This window comes from Homo sapiens, chromosome 6 (assembly GCF_000001405.40).
Source record: "Homo sapiens chromosome 6, GRCh38.p14 Primary Assembly".
Classification (NCBI taxonomy): Eukaryota; Metazoa; Chordata; class Mammalia; order Primates; family Hominidae; genus Homo; species Homo sapiens.
Window position 1 is genome coordinate 34,923,487 of NC_000006.12, and position 19,602 is coordinate 34,943,088.

Here is a 19,602-nt window from a genome sequence, read left to right on the forward strand (position 1 = left end):
CTTACTGTGTGCCAGGTACAGGCAGAAGAGCATTTCCTGTTCTATCTTATTCAGTCTGCACAGCAACCCTGGGAAGTAGGTAACCAGACCCCCTTTTACAGATGAGGAAACAGAGGCTTAGAGTTTAAACAACTTGCCAAGACTACTATTAAATTGTATAGTTTTAAACTCAGGTCTATCAAGCTATATCATAGATATGATTGAGTGAGCAGGTTATGGGGGAGATAGAGCCTGAGAAGAGAGGTGCTTCCTTCCTGTGAGACCAGAGGAAATGACTCCTGAATTCAGATGGAGAGAGGAAGATGGACCAACTCTTTGACCCTTTTCTAAGTGCATGTATTGTGCCCAATATCTGGCTCATTGCTCAGGACCGCTCCCCATGGCCTCTCACTGCTGCATACTCAAAGAGCCAGCAAACTGTTTGCAGAATGTCTACACTTTTTTCTGATGGCCAAGTCGTCTTACAGAGGCAGGGGCTCCAGAAATCTAGAGGAGGTTGCAAAAAAATTAGCTGTATGGACAGTGGATACACTGGGAATGTTGGCTTGGCCCCATGGCCTCCCAGGATCTATTGCACTTGACATAGAATAGAGGGGGCTTTTTCGTGTGTGTGTGTGTGTGTGTGTGTGTGTGTGTGTGTGTATTTTTCTTTTCCCCTGTATTTGTGGGTGTTAATATGAACCATCCAGCCAGGTCTGTGACGGCTGAGAAGTTGGTCAGGGTGTGGTTTTTAAATACATTTTCCTTTAGGTTTTCTTTCAACTATCTTCAAGTTTCTTGTTATGATGCATTTATAGGTTCCAGAGACCTGAATGTTATAGCCCTCAGTTGTCATTATAGTCCTCATAAAAAAGTTGAAGATTTGTATACATTCTCTACTCCAAAAGCCTCTGCAGTGGTGAGCATAGCTAGCTGCCTTCCAAAAAGTTTCTACAAAGGCATTTTCCTGTTTTTCTCAGCCTTTAACCCTATCTAAAGGAGACATTCTTTGGGGTAACTGGTTTAGTTTAAGTTTCTCATTTCCCTGCAGCACTACTGTTTCTGTAGGTGGTTTGGCAACCATTGGCACAGGGTCTTTTGAATTTCCAAATCGGTGACTCCTGCCATTTCAAGAAAATCTGTCTGAAATGACAAAGGACCTCCTTTGTCCTTTGAGGAAGAGACAAAATGACTGGAGAAACAAAGGCAGAGGAATCTGTTAGTGTATTTATTCATTGTTTACAAATTAGAACAAGCATCGGAATATTCAAGATTCCTGATTTCAGGAGTCCTTTTTGAAATTTTTTTGAGGCAGGGTCTTGCTCTGCCACCCAGGCTGGAGTGCAGTGTGCCATCTTGGCTCACTGCAACCTCAGACTCCCCGGGCTTGAGTGATCCACTTGCCTCAGCCTCCCGAAGTGCTGGGATTATAGGCGTGAGCCACCACGCCTGGCCGATTTCAGGAGTCTTAATTGCCTCTACTATCACTTTTTTTCCCCTGCCTAATTATATAGATCTTTTGCCTCTTTATTGTTGAAGACTAATTTTTTAAAACAGGCAACTCAGCAGTTACTGTAATATTTATTTCTACTGGGCTTTTCAAGTGTTCTTATATTTCTTCCTTGAATTAATTTACAAGGAGACTTAATTCACCTTACTGGTCTGTATTAGCCGTAGTTTCATATTAACATCTTGTTTTTTTAGGTTTGACTATCTTAGTAGGCTTTTTCTTTCTTTCCTGTCCTCTGTAAATGATTAATTAAAAGTCTTTTTGTTTTGGGCATTCTATAAATGCTCTTTTAGTACAGTTTTCTCCCTTAAGTGGTGTCATTCCTCTCCACAGTCTCTGCCCATAGAATGGCTTTCCTCAAGTCCTATGTGGCAGATGACATCAAGGGTGAGGGGAAGGAGAGTCTGGTTGGGCCCTGGCTGTGAGCAGCAAATGAGCATGTCATTGGGCCTTGGGGCAAAGGCCTTCAATGCTCTGTACGTGAGAGGAGCATAAACTGTTGGACCCGGGGTAAGTGAGTAGCCGACTTAGAACCTTTCTAGAGAAATAGCTGAGAAAGCCTGAAAGAGGCTTAAATGACAAGACATGGAGGAAGAGCCTCCTTGCCAGGAATTGGAGAATCTAGTTCAGGGAAACTTTGTCCATAGAACCCTGAGAATGGTGTATGGGGTATGAGGGAAAAATAGTTTTAGCCTGATACTGGGTGCGGAGAGGGATACTCTGTGGGATTCAGACCCAAAGGAGCTTTCTTTAGTTATTTTGGAGAAGTGATTCTCAGCCAGGGCAATTTTGGCACCTTCCCCATCCCCTTCTCACCCCAGGACATTGGCAATGTCCAGAGATGTTTTTGGTTGTCATACTTAGTGGGGTGCTACTGGCATCTAGTGAATAGAGACCAGGGATGCTATAAATTTCATACAGCATACAAAGGCAGCCTCCCATGACCAAGAATTATCTGACTAAAAATGTCAGTAGGCGGAGGTTGAGAAATTCTCCTTTAGAGAGTCTTGAGGAATTTTCATCAGGAATGGAATTCAAGTTAGGAAGTAAAACTAGAGGAGGCTGTAAAAGGCTCAGGTCTTGTTATATGTGTTAACCTGTCCTAGGCCAATGTGAAGTAAAATTATAACTAGGACTGGATTTGTGTAGTTCCCTCTGTGGTATGGTTTGTATTTTCTGATGATGACAAATTATAGTAAAGAAGCTTTGACATTCCCAGCTATGGGTGTGCCACCGTGCAGAGGACACAGGTGAAGGATGCTCACCTGTGAGAAGGGCAGGGCCTGCTGGGGTCTTGGACTTTCAGGGGCAAACCTCCATTCTCTGGGTGGCAGCAGCATGGGAAATTTTCCTGTGGTAGCTGAGAAACTGTGAGGGCCACCTGAGGCTTCCCTGGACCATTCATGCCTGTGATGGGGTGTGTTTAAGGGAGAAAGAGAATCCTTCAGATTCTCTTCTTCATAGAGTTCCCAAAATGGAAACTTTTGTATTTGGTGACCCCTTCTGACTTGTCATGCAGCTAATTCGAATACCTTAAAACAAGAATTTCTCATTGTAGAATCCTTGACCCCTGGGCTGTGGACTTTGAGGTGCAAAGTATGCAGACAAAGACAGACAAAGTGTGGTCTGTCTCTGTGCTTGAGGTAGATTTTTATATTGGAACACTTACATTAGGTAGATGTTATTTAAAAGGTGCAATGGCTCATTGCAGCCTTGTTAACACTGGTGCCCCTCACTCTTCCAGGAGGAGAAAAGCTCTTTTTTCATTTGCTGCTGAGCACCAGAGCCAGTCCCTGATTGGGGGCTTGAGCTTGCTTCCTGTCATCAGTTACAGAATATTAGATAGTGTGCAACTTTGGGGCTTGGCTGTGGGGAATGTAAGTGACTCAGTAGCATGGATGCTGGTACTGAGTCACTTACAATTATGGTACAGTATGAAGTAGTTTATAATTATTTAGTGGTTAGGTGTGTGGCTCTGACACCAGGTTGAATTCTGGCTCCAGGATTTCCTGCTGTGTGACCTTGGGCCAGTTAACCTATCTGTGCCTCAGTTTGTCCATTTGTGAAATGAGAATAATTCCATCAGATAGTTGTAAGGATTAAATAATTGTAGAACACTTTGAATGGTACCTGGTATATACAGAGTACTAAATCATATTACGTAAAATGGTGTGGTGCAGAGTATAAGTGCTGGAGGAATTCAGAAATGGAGAAGGTAAGTTGAGGGATGTGTGGTCAGGAGAGGCTTTCTTGGTGGGGCTTGAAATGGGTTGAAGATTTGAGTCAGGCTCTAAGAGAACAATAGTAGATGGTGTTCCAGACAAGGGGACAATGTGCATAAGGACGCAGAAGAAATTGTTATGTCCTAGACTCTGTAAGGAAACTGACTAGGGTAATGGGAAACTAGATTGAGTATGTGATTTTGGGGATGGGAGGTGAGGGATATTGATAAATGGGCACTAAAGATTAGTTTTTATACAGGGGCACCAGATGCTCATTTGGGCCACTAGGGATTTCTGAGCTGTGAAATGACCAAAGGAACTTGAAGTTCAAGCAGATGAGTCAAGTGTGGATTTTCAGGGTGGGCTGAAGTGAGGAGCTGTGGCACGGGTCGGAAAGCCAGCCAGGAAGCCGTTCTGATAGTTCACCTCATTGGAGCTGGACTAAGTGACAGCCTTGGGCATAAAGAGGCAGGTGTAAGTCTTGGTATTGTTTTGAAACAGTACTGTAATGTACAGGATTTGATGACTGATGGAGGTGCAAGGGAGACAAGTGCAAGGTGACCTGAGCCTCTAATCCTGCCTGAATGGCTGTGTAAAAAACTGGTCAGAGGGAGGAGAGTGGGCAGGAGGAGCTGGTTAAGGGAAGGTTTAGTGTAAACAGGAGAGCAGTTCCTCACCCACCCCTTACAACCAAGAGGAGCCCATTTTCCAAACTGAGATGGCTTCTTTTGGGCTGCAGTTTGAATCCAGGAGCAGTAGGCAAGGCTGGCATTTTCCCCATTCATTCACAGGGTATCCAGCTCCACCTGGTCCACTTGATGCAGACCCCACATGCGGTACTGGCTTCTTAGTGGCTACTATTCAACCTTACTGCCAGCTCCCTCTGATCCTCTTGAGCCAAAGGCTTTTCAGAGTGTCCAGTGGGACTTGGGCTTCAAACCTGTTTTCCCTTCATAAGGAAGCCTGTAAATCTTGATGGAGATTGGGAATATTGTCTTCCCATCTCTGTATGCATGAACCACAGACTTCTGCTATTTCCAATCTCTGCGTAGCCCTCCTGCTTAGAAGACACAGCACAGTGGAAGAAGAGAGCAGCCTTTTACAGCCCCAGGCCTCACAGGATCCTCTGAAAAGACTCGGAGCTTCATGCTCAGAATCACCCTGTCAGGAGCACTCTGTCACGGAAGGCTGTAATTTTAGGATAAGAAAGAGCCCTGGTTTCCCCCAGGCCAAGGCTTTATCCCAAACTCCCAAGTAAAAGCATTATCACAGCAGGGTGGATTGAGTTAAGGACCTTATCCATGTTTGCTTTGTCTCAATTATTTTTAGAGGAGTCTTTTTTTTTTTCTCTTTTTTGCTCACTGCTTTGTGTCCCACACTGTTCTAATACTTTCCATTTAATCTCTGATTTTCACAACCCACCCCTATTAGGAGGGTAGAGTGTTACTCTGTTTTGCAGATGAGGAAATTGAGGCACAGCACAGTTAAGTTTGCCTGGAGTTGCACATCTGGTTATTGGCGTGGCTGGGATTTGAATCCTGGCAGGGGATTCTGGGGTGTCTGCTCACTCACTGTGTTTCACCATCTCCCTTCAGTTAGCCAGAGCTGCCATTTTCAAGGTGGCATTTTCTTTTTCCTCTTTTGAGTTCTAATGAAGAAGTTGTTTTAGGAAAGTCACATGGTAACATAAGAGGGAGCAGGTGCTTTTTTGAGTCCCATGGGCCTGGTTTGAACACTGGCTGTGCCCACTTATACTAGCTATGCACCTTTGGGCAAGTCTGTTCACCTCTTTAAGCCTCAGTTTCTTAGAAATCTCAGAAATCTGTTTACTAAAGATATTATGGAAAAGTGAGCAGGTATATGTTTAGTGGCTGTGAGGTTTGGGGTTAGTTATTTAACCTTTTCTATAAGGTGAAGATGCTAATGCATACCTTCATAAAGGCTTTACTATAAAGCACTTCGAATGAGATCTGGAATGGAGTAAGTAAGGAATGAGTACTGTTGGTACTAGCAGGCTTTCAATACTTTTTTTGTATGTGGTGGTAGTAATGGTTTCATTTGGTCCTTTTTGGTTACATTTTATGTACTTTTGACTCTTATAAGCAAAAGTACCTTGCATGGTAGGAGTTGATAAGATTATAATAGACGAATGAATAAATGTATTCCACCCATGTTTGATTTCCCTGTTTAGCAGTATCTGCCTGGAAAAGCTCCCATCATTCTCGATCATATTTGCAGATATGCTAGATGGGGAACTTGGCTTGCTTTCCATTCACCTGTGCCGTTCACGTGTCTCTAGTTTGGCATACAGATATCTATTCTAGTGGTGCAGTTTTGTTTTTCATCAATGTCATTTGGAATACTTAGCAATCTGCCACTTTGCTTAGATTTTTTGGTTCTTATTTCTTTATCCTTTTGAAATACTCTACCTTTTTATTGTAAAGACCATCCTGATTAACCATGACTTTTAAATTATGAAGATTCATAATCACACTGCTAAAAAGTGCCTTTTCCATTAGGTCTTTCCTTTCTTTCCTTCTCTTTCTTTCTTTCTCTTCCTCCCCTTCTCCTTCCCCTCCCCCTCCCCCTTCCCCTTTTCCTTCCTCCTTCTCTCTCTCTCTTTCTCTTTCTTTCTTTCTCTCTTTCTTTCTCTTTCTCTCTCTTTCTGTCTCTTTCTCTGTGTGTTTGTTTTGCTTTGTTGCTTCCTATCCTTCATTGCTTAGGCCTTACTTTCTATCCTACTTATTTCCCCTATAGTCCTGGCTTATTCTCCACATTCCTGCTCTATGACATCTGAAATTCATGAATGGGATTTTTCTTTTTAGTTATCTTTCATCGATAGCTGTTACCTTTCCCCCTTGGATTCCAGAAGATCGTTTTACTAAATAAAAGGTTTTGGTCTTCATCCTGTTATGCCAATGGGTAGTTTCCAGCACAGGAAGTTGGTTTTCACATCTAATGGGATCATCTCCCAATATTCTGAACTCTCTCCAAGTCTATTGGAATATTCATCATCTTGTTTTTAATATTGACCTTTACACTTTTTTCATTACCTTACTGTGGGGGGACTTAGAGGTGGTAGGTACATCTCTCCTGGGCTATGTTTGGAGGCTCAGCAACATAAGTAGATGAAGCACAGAAAGATGGAATGAGGAAGGGAAGCTTCAGCAGGAAGGAAGGTGAACGGATTGTCTATGTGGTGCTGCCAGCCCAGGCTGTGGAGCCTTAGCAGAACAGGGTTCAGACTCGGCCCTGTTGCACATTCCCTGTGTGTGTGACCTGGGCAAGCTGTTTTATTCTTCCAAATCCCAGGTTGCTTTTTGTGTAAAAAAGGGATGTTAATGTTTACCACATAGAGTTACATTAGGGTTGAGCGAGATGTCCTCTGGTGGGCTCTGGTTTGTCTCTCCTCTTTCCTTTATCTTTTCTCTCTGTTCTGCTTGTTTCTGGCAAAGCCATTTTCTCTGTTTTTGTGCAGTTCCTCTCATGGAAATTATTTATACTTTTTTAAACTTGGGAACGTTATATCTCCTAAGAAGTATCAACTTGCCTCGTTTCTGTTACCACAGCCACTGATGTAGCTGAGGCCCCTTCCTCGCTTGTAAGCTGCTCATCAGAAATGACACTTCTTCCCTGTTACTTTGGCTGAGGGAAGAGTTTTATGCTTATCTCACATAAAGTCTTTTTTTTTTTTTTTGAGAAGGAGTGTGGCTCTTGTTGCCCAGGCTGGAGCGCAATGCAAGATCTCAGCTCACTACAACCTCTGCCCCCTGGGTTCAAGCGATTCTCCCGCCTCAGCCTCCTGAGTAGGTGGGATTACAGGCATGCACCACCATGCCTGGCTAATATTTTTGTGTTTTTAGTAGAGACAGGGTTTCTCCATGTTGGTCAGGCTGGTCTTGAACTCCCGACCTCAGGTGATCCGCCCGCCTCAGCCTCCCAAGGCTGTTTTCTTTTTTTTTTTTTTGAGAAAGTGTTTCACTCTGTCACCCAGGCTGGAGTACAGTGGTGCGATCTCAGCTCACTGCAACCTTCGCCTCCCAGGCTCAAGCGATTCTCCTGCCTCAGCCTCCTGAGTAGCTGGAATTATAGGCACTCACCACCACACCTGGCTAATTTTTGTATTTTTTAGTAGAGATGGGGTTTCACTATGTTGGCCAGGCTGATCTCGAACTCCTGACCTCAGGTGATCCACCCACCTTGACCTCCCAAAGTGCTGGGATTACAGGAGTGAGCCACCGTGCCCAGCCTAAGGCTGTTTTCAATATTGGACCTTTTATGCCTTCTTAGCTTTGAGAGTTCTCAGAAGCAAGTTTTATTTTTGCATAGAGGACCCCTACTCTCTCCCCTTCTGCTTTTTTTACTCTCTACAAATGGCATTACTTCATGGAGCCACAATCTTAGGTGGTTTTTAAATCTTCAAAAAGCTAGGAGACTCAAAATGGTTAGAGGAGGGAAATTGCTGTACTTTTTCTTCCAACCAGTCTAGGGCAAGGGAGGAAGCCCAATTTGTGTAGCACTCTTTCCTTCATGGAGGATACCCCCTATAATCTAGGTGCAAGTCTGGGAAAATTCATGCTCAGATGAACACATAGGTTGGCTCATTAAATAACACCCGTTTCTGTGAAGGACACTTGCAGAGAGCTAAAAGGCAGGAAAGTTGGTGAGTAAGAAGTACAAAACAGTAGATTAATAAACGTGTGATTATTCCTTTCAGTATTCAGAATTTAATGAGCATATATTACAGATACAAATCTGTATCTTAAAATAGTTGATAGCCTCTAGAGAAGGGATGGGGTGGACTGTTAGGTGCTGAGGCCAGTGGCCAATGGCCAGTTGGATGGCCTTGAGGTGGTTCTGACAAATTTTAAGGTACAGAGATTGGAGGACCTGGCACAGGAGTAAGCCTGACTTCAGTTCGAGCCTCAAATCTGCCTTGGACAGAGTAATTTTTCTCTTTTAACCATATTGGTTTTTGTTTTGTTTTGTTTTTGTTTTTTGTTTTGAGATGGAGTCTGGCTCTGTTGCCCAGGCTGGAGTACAGTGGTGTGCGTCTCAGCTCACTGCAACCTCGGCCTCCCGGGTTCAAGCAATTCTCCTGCCTCAGCCTGCCGAGTAACTCGGATTACAGGCACCCACCACCGCCCCTGGCTATTTATATTTTTAACAGAGATAGGGTTTCACCGTGTTGGCCAGGCTGGTCTTGAACTCCTCAGGCGATCCGCCTGAGGATCTGGAGTGCAGTGGTGCGATCTTGACTCACTGCAATCTCCGCCTCCCAAGTTCAAGAGATTCTCCTGCCTCAGCCTCCTGAGTAGCTGGGATTACAAGCGTGCATCACCACACCTGGCTAATTTTTGTATTTTTAGCAGAGATGAGGTTTCACCATGTTGGCCAGGCTGGTCTTAAACTCCTGACCTCAAGTGATCTATCCGTCTCAACCTCCCAAAGTGCTGGGATTACAGGCATGAGCCACCATGCCCAGCAGTTCTTCTTTTTTATTGCCAAATAATATTCCATTGTATGAGTATACCATATGTTCATCCATTCATCAGTTAATGGAAATTTATGTTGTTTCCATATTTTGGTTTTTGTGAATGATGCTACTTTGAACATCCATATACAAAGTTTTGTGTAGACCTATGCTTTCATTTCTCTTGGAGTGAATTGCTGAGTTATATGTTAACTCTGTTTAACTTTTTGAGGACCTGCTATATTGTTTTTCAAAGTGGCTGTATCATTTTACAATCCCACCAGAAATGTATGAGTGTTCCAATTTCTCCATATACTCACTGACATTTGTTATTGTCCATTTTATTTTATCCTAGTGGATATAAAGTGATTTTTGATTTGTCTTTCCCTCATGACTATTACTATTGAACATCCTTCTGTGTGCTTATTAGCCATTTGTGTATCTTCTTTGGAAAGATGATTTTTCAAATCATTTGGACATCTTTGAATTGGGTTACTTGCCTTTCTGTTGTTGAGTTGTATGAGTAGTTCCTCTTTGGAAGTTTTATTTGGCAGTCTGGAATTCAAATTTATGTCCGTGATCATTCTATCACTACTTTTGTGGACGAAATGTCTTTGGCGAAATAGATTTTTTTTGACACTTGCTATTAGTAATGGAAGCATAGAAAGATTTTAAATGCATAGAATGATGGAGAAAAGGCTGTTTTGTTTTGTTTTTGAGATGGAGTTTCGCTCTTGTTGCCCAGGCTGGAGTGCAATGGCGCGATCTCGTCTCACTGCAACCACCGCCTCCTGGATTCAAGCGATTCTCCTGCCTCAGCCTCCCAAGTAGCTGGGATTACAGGCATGGGCCACCACGCCCGGCTAGTTTTGTATTTTTAGTAGAGACGGGGTTTCTCCATGTTGGTCAGGCTAGTTGCAAACTCCCGACCTTAGGTGATCCGCCCGCCTCAGCCTCCCAAAGGGAAAAGGCTGTTTTTAAATAAATTTATACATGGAAAAACTGTAACAGTGTTTTGGAAGCAACTGCCCTTCCTTCAAACAGTTGACTTCCTTGGATAGCATACCAGTGTTCTAGTTTCTTCCAACCCTTTTGTTGCTTTGACTGACATCTTCCAAAAGAATTGTCAGGGCTAATGCCTTTGAAAAAATACTAACAAATTAGATGGAATTAATGCAATTAAACATTATTTTTATTTGAGAGTCTTGTGGCTTTCTTTGAATACGGCAGTCAATAGCTGATATTTTAGGGCTGCTGTTCAGAAATTGTGGACCTAAACCAAGATACCATGGTGTTAGGAGGAATGAAATGGAGACGGGAGAAGAATGGAAGAAACAGCCAGATAACTGTGTACGTTGGAGAATTAAAAGCTTTGTTTTTTCTCTTATACTCCATACAAATTAAAGCATTTTCCAGAGAGGTGATGTGGAAGGAAGCCCTCAATTTAGTTCCCCAGGCACTTTATTTTTATTTATTTATTTATTTATTTATTTTGGAGACGGAGTCTTGCTTTGTCACCCAGGCTGAAGTGCAGTGGCCCAGTCTCGGCTCACTGCAAGCTCCACCTCCCGGGTTCACGCCATTCTCCTGCCTCAGCCTCCGGAGCAGCTGGGACTACAGGCGCCCACCACCATGCCCGGCTAATTTTTTTGTATTTTTAGTAGAGATGGGGTTTCACTGTGTTAGCCAGGACGGTCTCTATCTCCTGACCTTGTGATCCGCCCGCCTCGGCCTCCCAAAGTGCTGGGATTACAGGCGTGAGCCACCACGCCCAGCCACCCCCAGGTACTTTATAACACTAGGTGAAATTGGTTTTTTAGTCACTGAAGTCTTTTGAGCTTGCCAAGAGCTTGGTTAGCTTTAAATCATTTTGGCATTACTCTAGGACCCTGTCTGGTTATTATCAGTTTTCTCATTTGAAGTTACATATCATTCAGCGGTCATGCTTACATCCGTTTCCCTGGAATCTCATGCAAGAAGAAAAAAATCCTTGCTTCATAGTAAGTGTTGGAAAGTGGGCGTCGTGACAAGTTGGCTCTGACCCAGCTTCCCTTGCTCTTACACATGTGAAACCTGTTTCTTTTGGCTAGGGCCAAGAACCTGTCGACATCTCAGCTAAAACAATCTAGTCTTATTCCCCTCTCTTTTCACCTCCCACCCCACCCCCAGCCTATTTTTCTCCTTTTCCTTCACATTTTATTTTATAAGGCTGTTGTGGGTCACTTTTTCTAGTTATTTCAAACATTGGATTCTTCAGGTGTCTTCTTTCATTTGTTTTTATTTTCCTTCTTAGAACAGTGGCCATGTGAAGCCATTCATATTTACTCTAATGTAAGAAAATCATTTTGAGTTTTGTCTGCTGGACATGCTTAGGAGATTTAACTCTGTTTTCATTCTTCTGGACAGTGATAGGCTGGTTCCCTCTTGTTTTTTAAAGACAGTTTCTTGATGTGTCGCTTAGGCTGGAGTGCAGTGGTGTGATCATAGTTCACTGGAACCTCCAACAACTGGGCTTAAGCCATCCTCCCACCTTAGCCTCCTCAGTAGCTGGGACTACAGGCATGCATTGCCACACCTAGCTAACTTTTGAAATTTTTGTAGAGACGGGGTCTCGCCGTGTTTCCCAGGCTGGTCTCAAACTCCTGGGCTCAAGCATTCCTTCCACCTCAGCCTCCCAAAGTGCTGGGATTACAGGCGTGAGCCACTTGGCCTGGCTGGTTTACATTTTTTAATGCCCGTCTTCAGAGTCAAAACTGGGATTGCCCTGGTGTTAGTTTGCATTAAAAATTGCTGATATGAGATTTATGCAGAGCTGGGACTTGCTGATATTGTTGGACTTTGTCATCTGTACTTGAAATATGAGAAAGGGAACTGCTTAAAATATCTGGGCTCCCTTTCCGGTAGCTTTAGTTGTTTCCCATCTTTAAACCAAATGCTGAAGGCATAACATAAATTAATGTATTGCTAAAGGCCGAGTGGATAAAATACACAACAGCTTTATAATATTAAAAGCTTCATTGGTACTTAACGTGTTCAGCTGCCAGCTGCATAAGGAGAACCTTGAAAGAAAGAGGGTACAAATTACTTATTTAAAATACTTTCTCCTGGTGGGCCGGGCGCGGTGGCTCACGCCTGTAATCCCAGCACTTTGGGAGGCCGAGGCGGGCGGATCACGAGGTCAGGAGATCGAGACCATCCCGGCTAAAACGGTGAAACCCCGTCTCTACTAAAAATACAAAAAATTAGCCGGGCGTAGTGGCGGGCGCCTGTAGTCCCAGCTACTTGGGAGGCTGAGGCAGGAGAATGGCGTGAACCCGGGAGGCGGAGCTTGCAGTGAGCCGAGATCCCGCCACTGCACTCCAGCCTGGGCGACAGAGCGAGACTCCGTCTCAAAAAAAAAAAAAAAAAAAAAAAAATACTTTCTCCTGGTGAAGTGGTGGTGAGATTAGCATGTCCCTAGTTGCTGGTAAGGGAATTTCAGGAACTTGTTTTAGAGTGCAGAGAACCCCCTGATCTGTAGTGTGCATTGAAAGAGTACACATTATGCCAACCAGCTCTTACCTTCAATGGAGAAATTCAGGCCAGGGCAGCAGCAGAAGTAGAAAGACCTCCACTGTCACTGAGGTAGAGACTCTGAAGGGCGCGAGATTCTGATTGTGCCTGTCCTCACAGTGGAGGGAGGCCTTTGGAGGGCCTTTTTTGCCTTTGTAGCAGGCGGGAACACTCAGGTCTGTGACTGTCAAGCGGAAGCTGGTGAAGGTCCTCCAACTGTAGATGGCTCAGGATATAGTACTGAGGTCATTATCTTTAGATTTTCTATATTCCTTCCAGGCTGAGGGAAACATGTCCAGTCTTCTTTCAACAGTTCATTTGCTTCCATTGCCAGGCCTTTTATGAGAATGTTCTAGTGCTTAGAATATGTTTCCTTCCTTAATGGTCAAAGTGCTACCATATTTTTAAACACACCCTGGGTTTCTAATTCCTACAAGAAGGCTCTAATACATGATAATGGCGGTGATAGCTCCCAAGGATATTCGGTTTCCTCACTTTTCATTCACTCCATCTCCAACATGTACAGGATGAATGGCCCCTTTGCTGATAATTCATGTGAAATATATTCCCCGTGACACCTAGATGAGCAAATTTATTGGGAGCTAAAATTCTATAAGAAACTACTTTTATTTCAAAAATAAAGCTTAAAACTGATATGTAGCTTCATCTATTCAGCAAACATTTGATCCGGTATCTACTATGCTGGATACCTAGCAGATACAAAGATGAATCTCATGTAGGTGGACCTTGATCTCAAGAGGCTTAGAGTCTAGAAAGATACATACATGTTACATACATACATATACATTCCTATACATACATACATATTACATCCTTTTTACTCTATTAAACAGGTAAAATGCAAGGGGAATTCAGAGGAGAGAAGATAGTCATTTTGGATGTGTAGTGCTGAAAGGCAGACTGACATTATGGCTTTGGGCTCTGGAGTCAGAATGCTTGGATTCTGGTGGGGCGCAGTGGCACAGCCCTGTAATCCCAGCACTTTGGGAGGTAGGGGCAGGCGGATCACTTGAACTCAGGAGTTTGAGACCAGCCTGTGCAACATTGCGAGACCTCATCTTAAAAAAATATATATATATATATTTTTTTAAAAAGAATGGCTGGATTCAAATCCTGTTTTAGAATTTATTATCTTAGGGCCCTTGTATGATTATTTTACTTCTCTAAGACTGTTTCCTCATCTGGTAAATGGAGATAATAAGTACCTATTTCACAGGGTAATTGTGAGGCTTAAACAATGTAATGTAGGTAAGGCCCTTACTGTGGAAGGAAGATCAGACATGCTATTGTGGAGGCTGCGGCCTTTGAAGGAGGAGGAGAATTGAGGCATGGGACAGTGGGGAGAAAGGTGAGGAAGGCAGAAGAAACTGTGCTGGTTTAGAGAATGGCTAAATTTTGCTGAATCAATGGGGTATAAAGGAGAGATAAAGATAGTAAGATCAGAAAAAAGAAGTTGTGGCTGGTTCACACAAGGCATGAAATCCTTCATTGGGTTGTTTTGACCTCATCTCAAGATTGAAGGATGCCACCGAAGGTTTTAGAGTGGGCAAGTAATAATCAGACTCTGGCATTAGGAGAATTAATCTACAGTGTCTATAGTGGGAAAACTTATTAGGACAAAATCAGTTACACCTCATAGCCTTTACTGCTCCCTAACTTGGTCTGATTTATATCATGGACACTTTCTTTTGTCATTGAATTTCCTAGCATATGATTTTAAATGATGCTTCCACAGCTTCTCCCACCCTACCCCACACCTCCCTCTGTAGTGACCTCTCTTCCACTTAGGGCACCTATTGACCTGTTCTTTTCTCCTTCCTTCCATCTAAGCTGGGAAAGGTCTGATATGTCATTTATTCATAATTAAATAAAATGCAGCCAAAGCAAATACATTACCTCTCATCCATTTTAAAGCACATTATAAGCCATTTATTTTTAATTGCAGTTTAAAAAGCTTTTCTTTATAAGAATTTCAGGCATCAAGCAAATTGGGAACAATCCTTTTATGCCTATTCAACTGGCCCTAAAAAATCAATCTTATTTAGGCTTTTTTGGAATAAGAGAGCAGGAGGAGTCTCCAATATCCTCCTCAAAGACAGCTGTCCTCTCCTTTGAGGAATGGAGTGAAATTGCTCTGTAGAAAAGGCTGTGTCATTGCCCCTGCCCTGGCACAAATCAGTCTGTTCCTTATGTACATACACTTCTGCCCCTCAGTGGATAAATGTGTGTGTGTGTCACGTGCCACTAGTGGCCATGGCTCTGTGCCATGCACATAACCGAACACACTCATTCTTCCATCCCTCCCCCAAGAAGCCTATTTTGGTCAAATTTGAACTTTTACTTTTTACTTAAGTTTTATTTGTTTTCTGATTCTGGGATACCCAGAAATGGTCCCCACGTTGCTTTTGTTTGTTTGTCTTCTCCTCTCTGAGTTTGAAAGAGTCTTATAAAACAAGTATTTCTGGGCCGGGCATGGTGGCTCACGCCTGTAATCCCAGCACTTTGGGAGGCCAAGGCAGGTGGATCATGAAGTCAGGAGTTCAAGACCAGCCTGGCCAACATGGTGAAACCCCATCTCTACAAAAACTACAAAAATTTGCCGGGCGTGGTGGCGCACGCCTGTAATCCCACCTACGCGGACGGCTGAGGCAGGAGAATTGCTTGAACCCGGGAGGTGGAGGTTACAGTGAGCTGAGATCTCGCCACTGTGCTCCAGCCTGGGCGACAGAGCGAGACTCCATCTTGGAAAAACAAACAAACAAAACCAAGTATTTCTTTGAAACTCATCTCATAAGTAGTTGCAAAATTGGAGTATTACTTGACTGTCCTAATAATTATGAATTTTCTAAAAATATTTGATTTTAGATTACTTAAGGCTTAGAGCACTGATTTTAGGTTCTTTTGGAGGTAGCATTTAAGGAGTATAAGGGAGCCAATTAAAGAATACCTTCTTTATTGTCTCTGTTCTAGGAGCCCTTCCCTACAGGGCCAGGCCCTTTACCTCACAGGTTGGAGCAGATCAGAATGCACACCTCCTGTGGACAGGGCAATGGAACCCCTCCAGCAGCCTCACTGGAGTGATTTCACAAGTCTTCTCAATAAATTTACTTAATTTGATCCTGTGTATTTCATCAGGTTTGTGGAGTTTGCCTGCAGATCTTGTTGATTCAGTGGGCATCTTAGTTGTGGTATGCATTCAGTAAATATTTTTATTGTGAACAAGTGCAGTTTGTTTTAGCAATATTATAATATACACTATGGTGAAGTAATTAGTTGCCTTCTGCTATTTGCTTTCAAGTAATCGGAAATAAGAAGTATTTGGGGCCAGGCACAGTGGCTTATGCCTGTAATCCCAGCACTTTGGAAGGCTGAGGTGGTTGGATTGCTTGAGCCCAGGAGTTCCAGGTTACAATGAGCTATGATCGTGCCACTGCACTCCAGCCTAGATGACAGAGTGAGATCCTGTCTCTTTCAAAAAAAAAAAGAAAAGGTTTGGGGATATGCTAAGGAGACTTAATGCTTTTCATTTACAGCATTCCCTTGGTATTTGTTAATGGCTGTTCTGCTTAGAAATAGCTGCAGAGTAGATGATGGTGCAAAAAATCAGCCATAGTGGCTTGAAGATTTCAGGAATATTTTCTACTTCTGTGGCTTTTTCACATCCTGTTCATCTAAGAAATATGGTTGCTGCTCCCAGCCATTGTGGGCAGTGGCTTTGGGGGAAGCGCTATAGTGTGAGCACAATGAATTTTGGTCATCTTGGTCCTGGTTAGATGGCCTATAATGCTCTCATTTCCAGAGTTGGTTTCTCAGAGACTGTTCACTTGTCTTTCAGGCCAAGAATAGTTACAAGATAAGCAGTGGATTTAAAAACAGAGTGTATTTTGCACTGTCTGATGAGTACATTGTGTCTCCGAAGTTGAGATTCCACATAGTGAGCCTTGGAAAACAACTGCTGGTAAATTCGGAAGATAAAGAAAAGATTAATTATACACTCCTTATCTTGCGGAGCACTTTGTGTTGACTGATGTAGTTCACTGACCCGAAGATGGAACCAGGAAACCTGGAATGTGATGTTTTACATTGTTTCTGTTGAAAAATGTACTTAACCAATGTGCAGAGTGTTCAGGGCAATATACTTGGAATGACCTTTGTCCTTGAGGCACTTGTGGGAATCTGCTTGTGACACACCTAACAAGGATGAGAATTTGGAGGAAAAACAGAAATGAGAGATGATTTAATTTTCATCAGTCCATATACTGGAGAAATATTTTTTCTAATGATTCTTAGATATCTTTTCTATATGTTGGATATAAAATTAAGTGAACCAAGATTAGTAGTGCTATTGAGTCTAACTTTTCTAAGACAAAAGTATTATTTAAAAATTATTAAAATATTGGCTCACACTTATAATCCCAGCACTTTGGGAGGCCAAGGCAGGCGGATCACAAGGTCAGGAGTTCGAGACCAGCCTAGCCAACATGATGAAACCCCGTCTCTACTAAAATACAAAAATTAGCTGGGCGTGGTGGCGGGTGCCTGTAATCCCAGCTACTTGGGAGGCTGAGGCGGGAGAATCGCTTGAACTCAGCAGGCGGAGGTTGCAGTGAGCTGAGATCATGCCATTGCACTCCATCCTGGGCAACGAGGATGAAACTCTGTGTCAAAAAAAAAAAAAATTAAAATAATATATCCTCATGATAAAAAAGTCAAACAATGGCAACATCTATAGTATTTCTACCTCTAAAAAAAATTTTTTTTTTGAGATGGAGTCTTGCTCTGTCACCCAGGCTGGAGTGCAGTGGTGCCATCTTGGCTCACTGCAACTCCACCTCCCGGGTTCAAGTGATTCTCCTGCCTCAGCCTCCTGAGTAGGTGGGATCACAGGCGTGTGCCACCACGCCCGGCTAATTTTTGTATTTTTAGTAGAGACAGGGTTTCACCATGTTGGTCGGGCTGGTCTTGAACTCCTGACCTTGTGATCGGCCTGCCTTGGCCTCCCAAAGTGTTGGGATTACAGGTGTGAGCCACCGCGCCAGCCTAACAATTTTATGTATTTATTTTTAGATTTTTTTCCATGCTTATACAAATATATTCCATTTTTATTTTGATGATGTTACATAATCCACAACTTGGCTTTTTCCGTTTTTTTTCCTCTGCTGTGTCTCTAACGCTTAATATATTATTATTATTTTTTATTTTTTTATAGAGATAGGATTTAGCTATGTTGCCTAGGCTGGTCTTGAACTCCTAGGCTCAAGCAATCCTCCCACCTCGGCCTCACAAAGTATTGGGATTACAGGCATGAGCCACTGTGCCCGCCCAAACTGAATACATTTTGACATTAATTGAGTTTTTATAATGAATTAATGTTGAATCAGCAATTTTTAAAAAATCTAATGAACATATAGCTTCTCTTCTTTATTCTGTTAATGGGAACATTGGATTCTCTGATGCTCAACACTCCTGACATTCCTTGGGGATAACTTTCGTCATTCCTTAAAATTGACAGCCGTTCATTCTTTAAAGACATTTCAGGGATGTCACAAAGCAGCAGAATATATGTATGACCTGGGCTAGGAAACCTGAGAGGGACATGGTCTAACTTGTGCTGGGAATGTGACTGACAATGTACGATGTACTGTTCAGAGCCAGAGGAAATGATACTGAGATCCAGCACCTCTAGGAGCTGTTCTCTATGTAGTTGTTGTTATTAGAGGTGATGCTATTAATTAGAGGTTAATAATATCATTAGCCTACAAAGTATTAGATTCGAAGTAACATTGTCCTAGTTGTAATCTTGAGGATTATGCATACTGAGGGGTTTGAAATGCTTTGACTGTCTTCAGTTTTGGGGGTTTATTATGTTTCATTTGCTTTCATAGTTTTTTGAGGATAGCTTAATAATCGGATGAAGTTTCTCATACGATTCCCCAATTAAACTACTTGTTTCTTTTGAGCGCTAGGCCAAACCTTGGCCATCTCTTCTTTCTTTCGAGGAAGTGAACATTTTCTCTACTTTACCAACTCTCTCTAGAACAACTGGTGAACTTGGCAGTGTATGACAGAGGAATTGGAGATTTGCTGTGAACAGCCATCACAAGTAGCCAGAGCTTCAGTACTCACTTGAGTTTAAGGTCTAGATTTGAGGTTAGTAGCTTAAATGATGTGACTTACTGGCTTCTAGGAGCTAAGATGGAGTTCCAGTGTTTACGTTTCATACTCCAAATCTGAAGAGTGAGTGAGGTGGTGGATGATCACTAACAGTTTCTTTGAGCTCTGTGAGATTTTGATTTTGTATGAATGCACCCACTTCTCTCAGACTGGTCCCTTAATTGAGAACTGAGGTCTTGCAGATAGGGAGTGTAAAGTTAGGATCTTGATTTGTATGTAAATTGGGCTGACCTTGTTGATTCATGTCTTTTTTCATCCTGATACTGATTTTTTTTTTTCCTCCTGTGTTTGGGATTGTGCATTGTACACTTTCTTCTGTCATTGGTATTTACTCTTAGGGAGTGTGGGATTTTTTAAATAGACTTGGTTTTTTTAGAGTTGTATTTGTTGATGTTGTTTCTTTTCTTTTCCCCCTCCCCTCCCCATCCTTCTTTTCTTTTCTTTTTTCTCTTTTCTTTTCCCTTTCCTTTCCTTTTCTTTCCCTTCCCTTTCCTTCCCTTTCCCCTTCCCTTCCCCCTCCTTTTCCTTTCCCCTTTCCCCTTTCCTTTTCCTTTTCCTTTTCCTTTCCTTTTCTTTCTCTCCCTCTGTTGGCCAGGCTGGAGTGTAGTAGTACAGTCAAAGCTCACTATAACCTTTAACTCCTGGGCTCAGGGCCTACTCCCACCTCGGCC

The 19,602-nt window shown here is 42.7% G+C and overlaps 1 protein-coding gene across 10 annotated transcripts in view, besides 1 other annotated feature; it reads left to right on the top strand.

Annotated features, from left to right (window-relative positions):
- The window catches only part of ANKS1A (ankyrin repeat and sterile alpha motif domain containing 1A), a 208,736-nt gene that overhangs the window by 34,232 nt on the left and 154,902 nt on the right, over positions 1–19,602 (top strand). The window lies entirely within an intron of this gene.
- Positions 2,634–2,807: a silencer, noted in NCBI's record as "fragment chr6:34893897-34894070 (GRCh37/hg19 assembly coordinates)". NCBI's record gives its function as "represses an EF-1alpha promoter that drives an FKBP-Casp9 reporter gene in an ReSE screen in K562 erythroleukemia cells {active_cell/tissue: K562}" and the evidence as "EXISTENCE:reporter gene assay evidence [ECO:0000049][PMID:32094911]".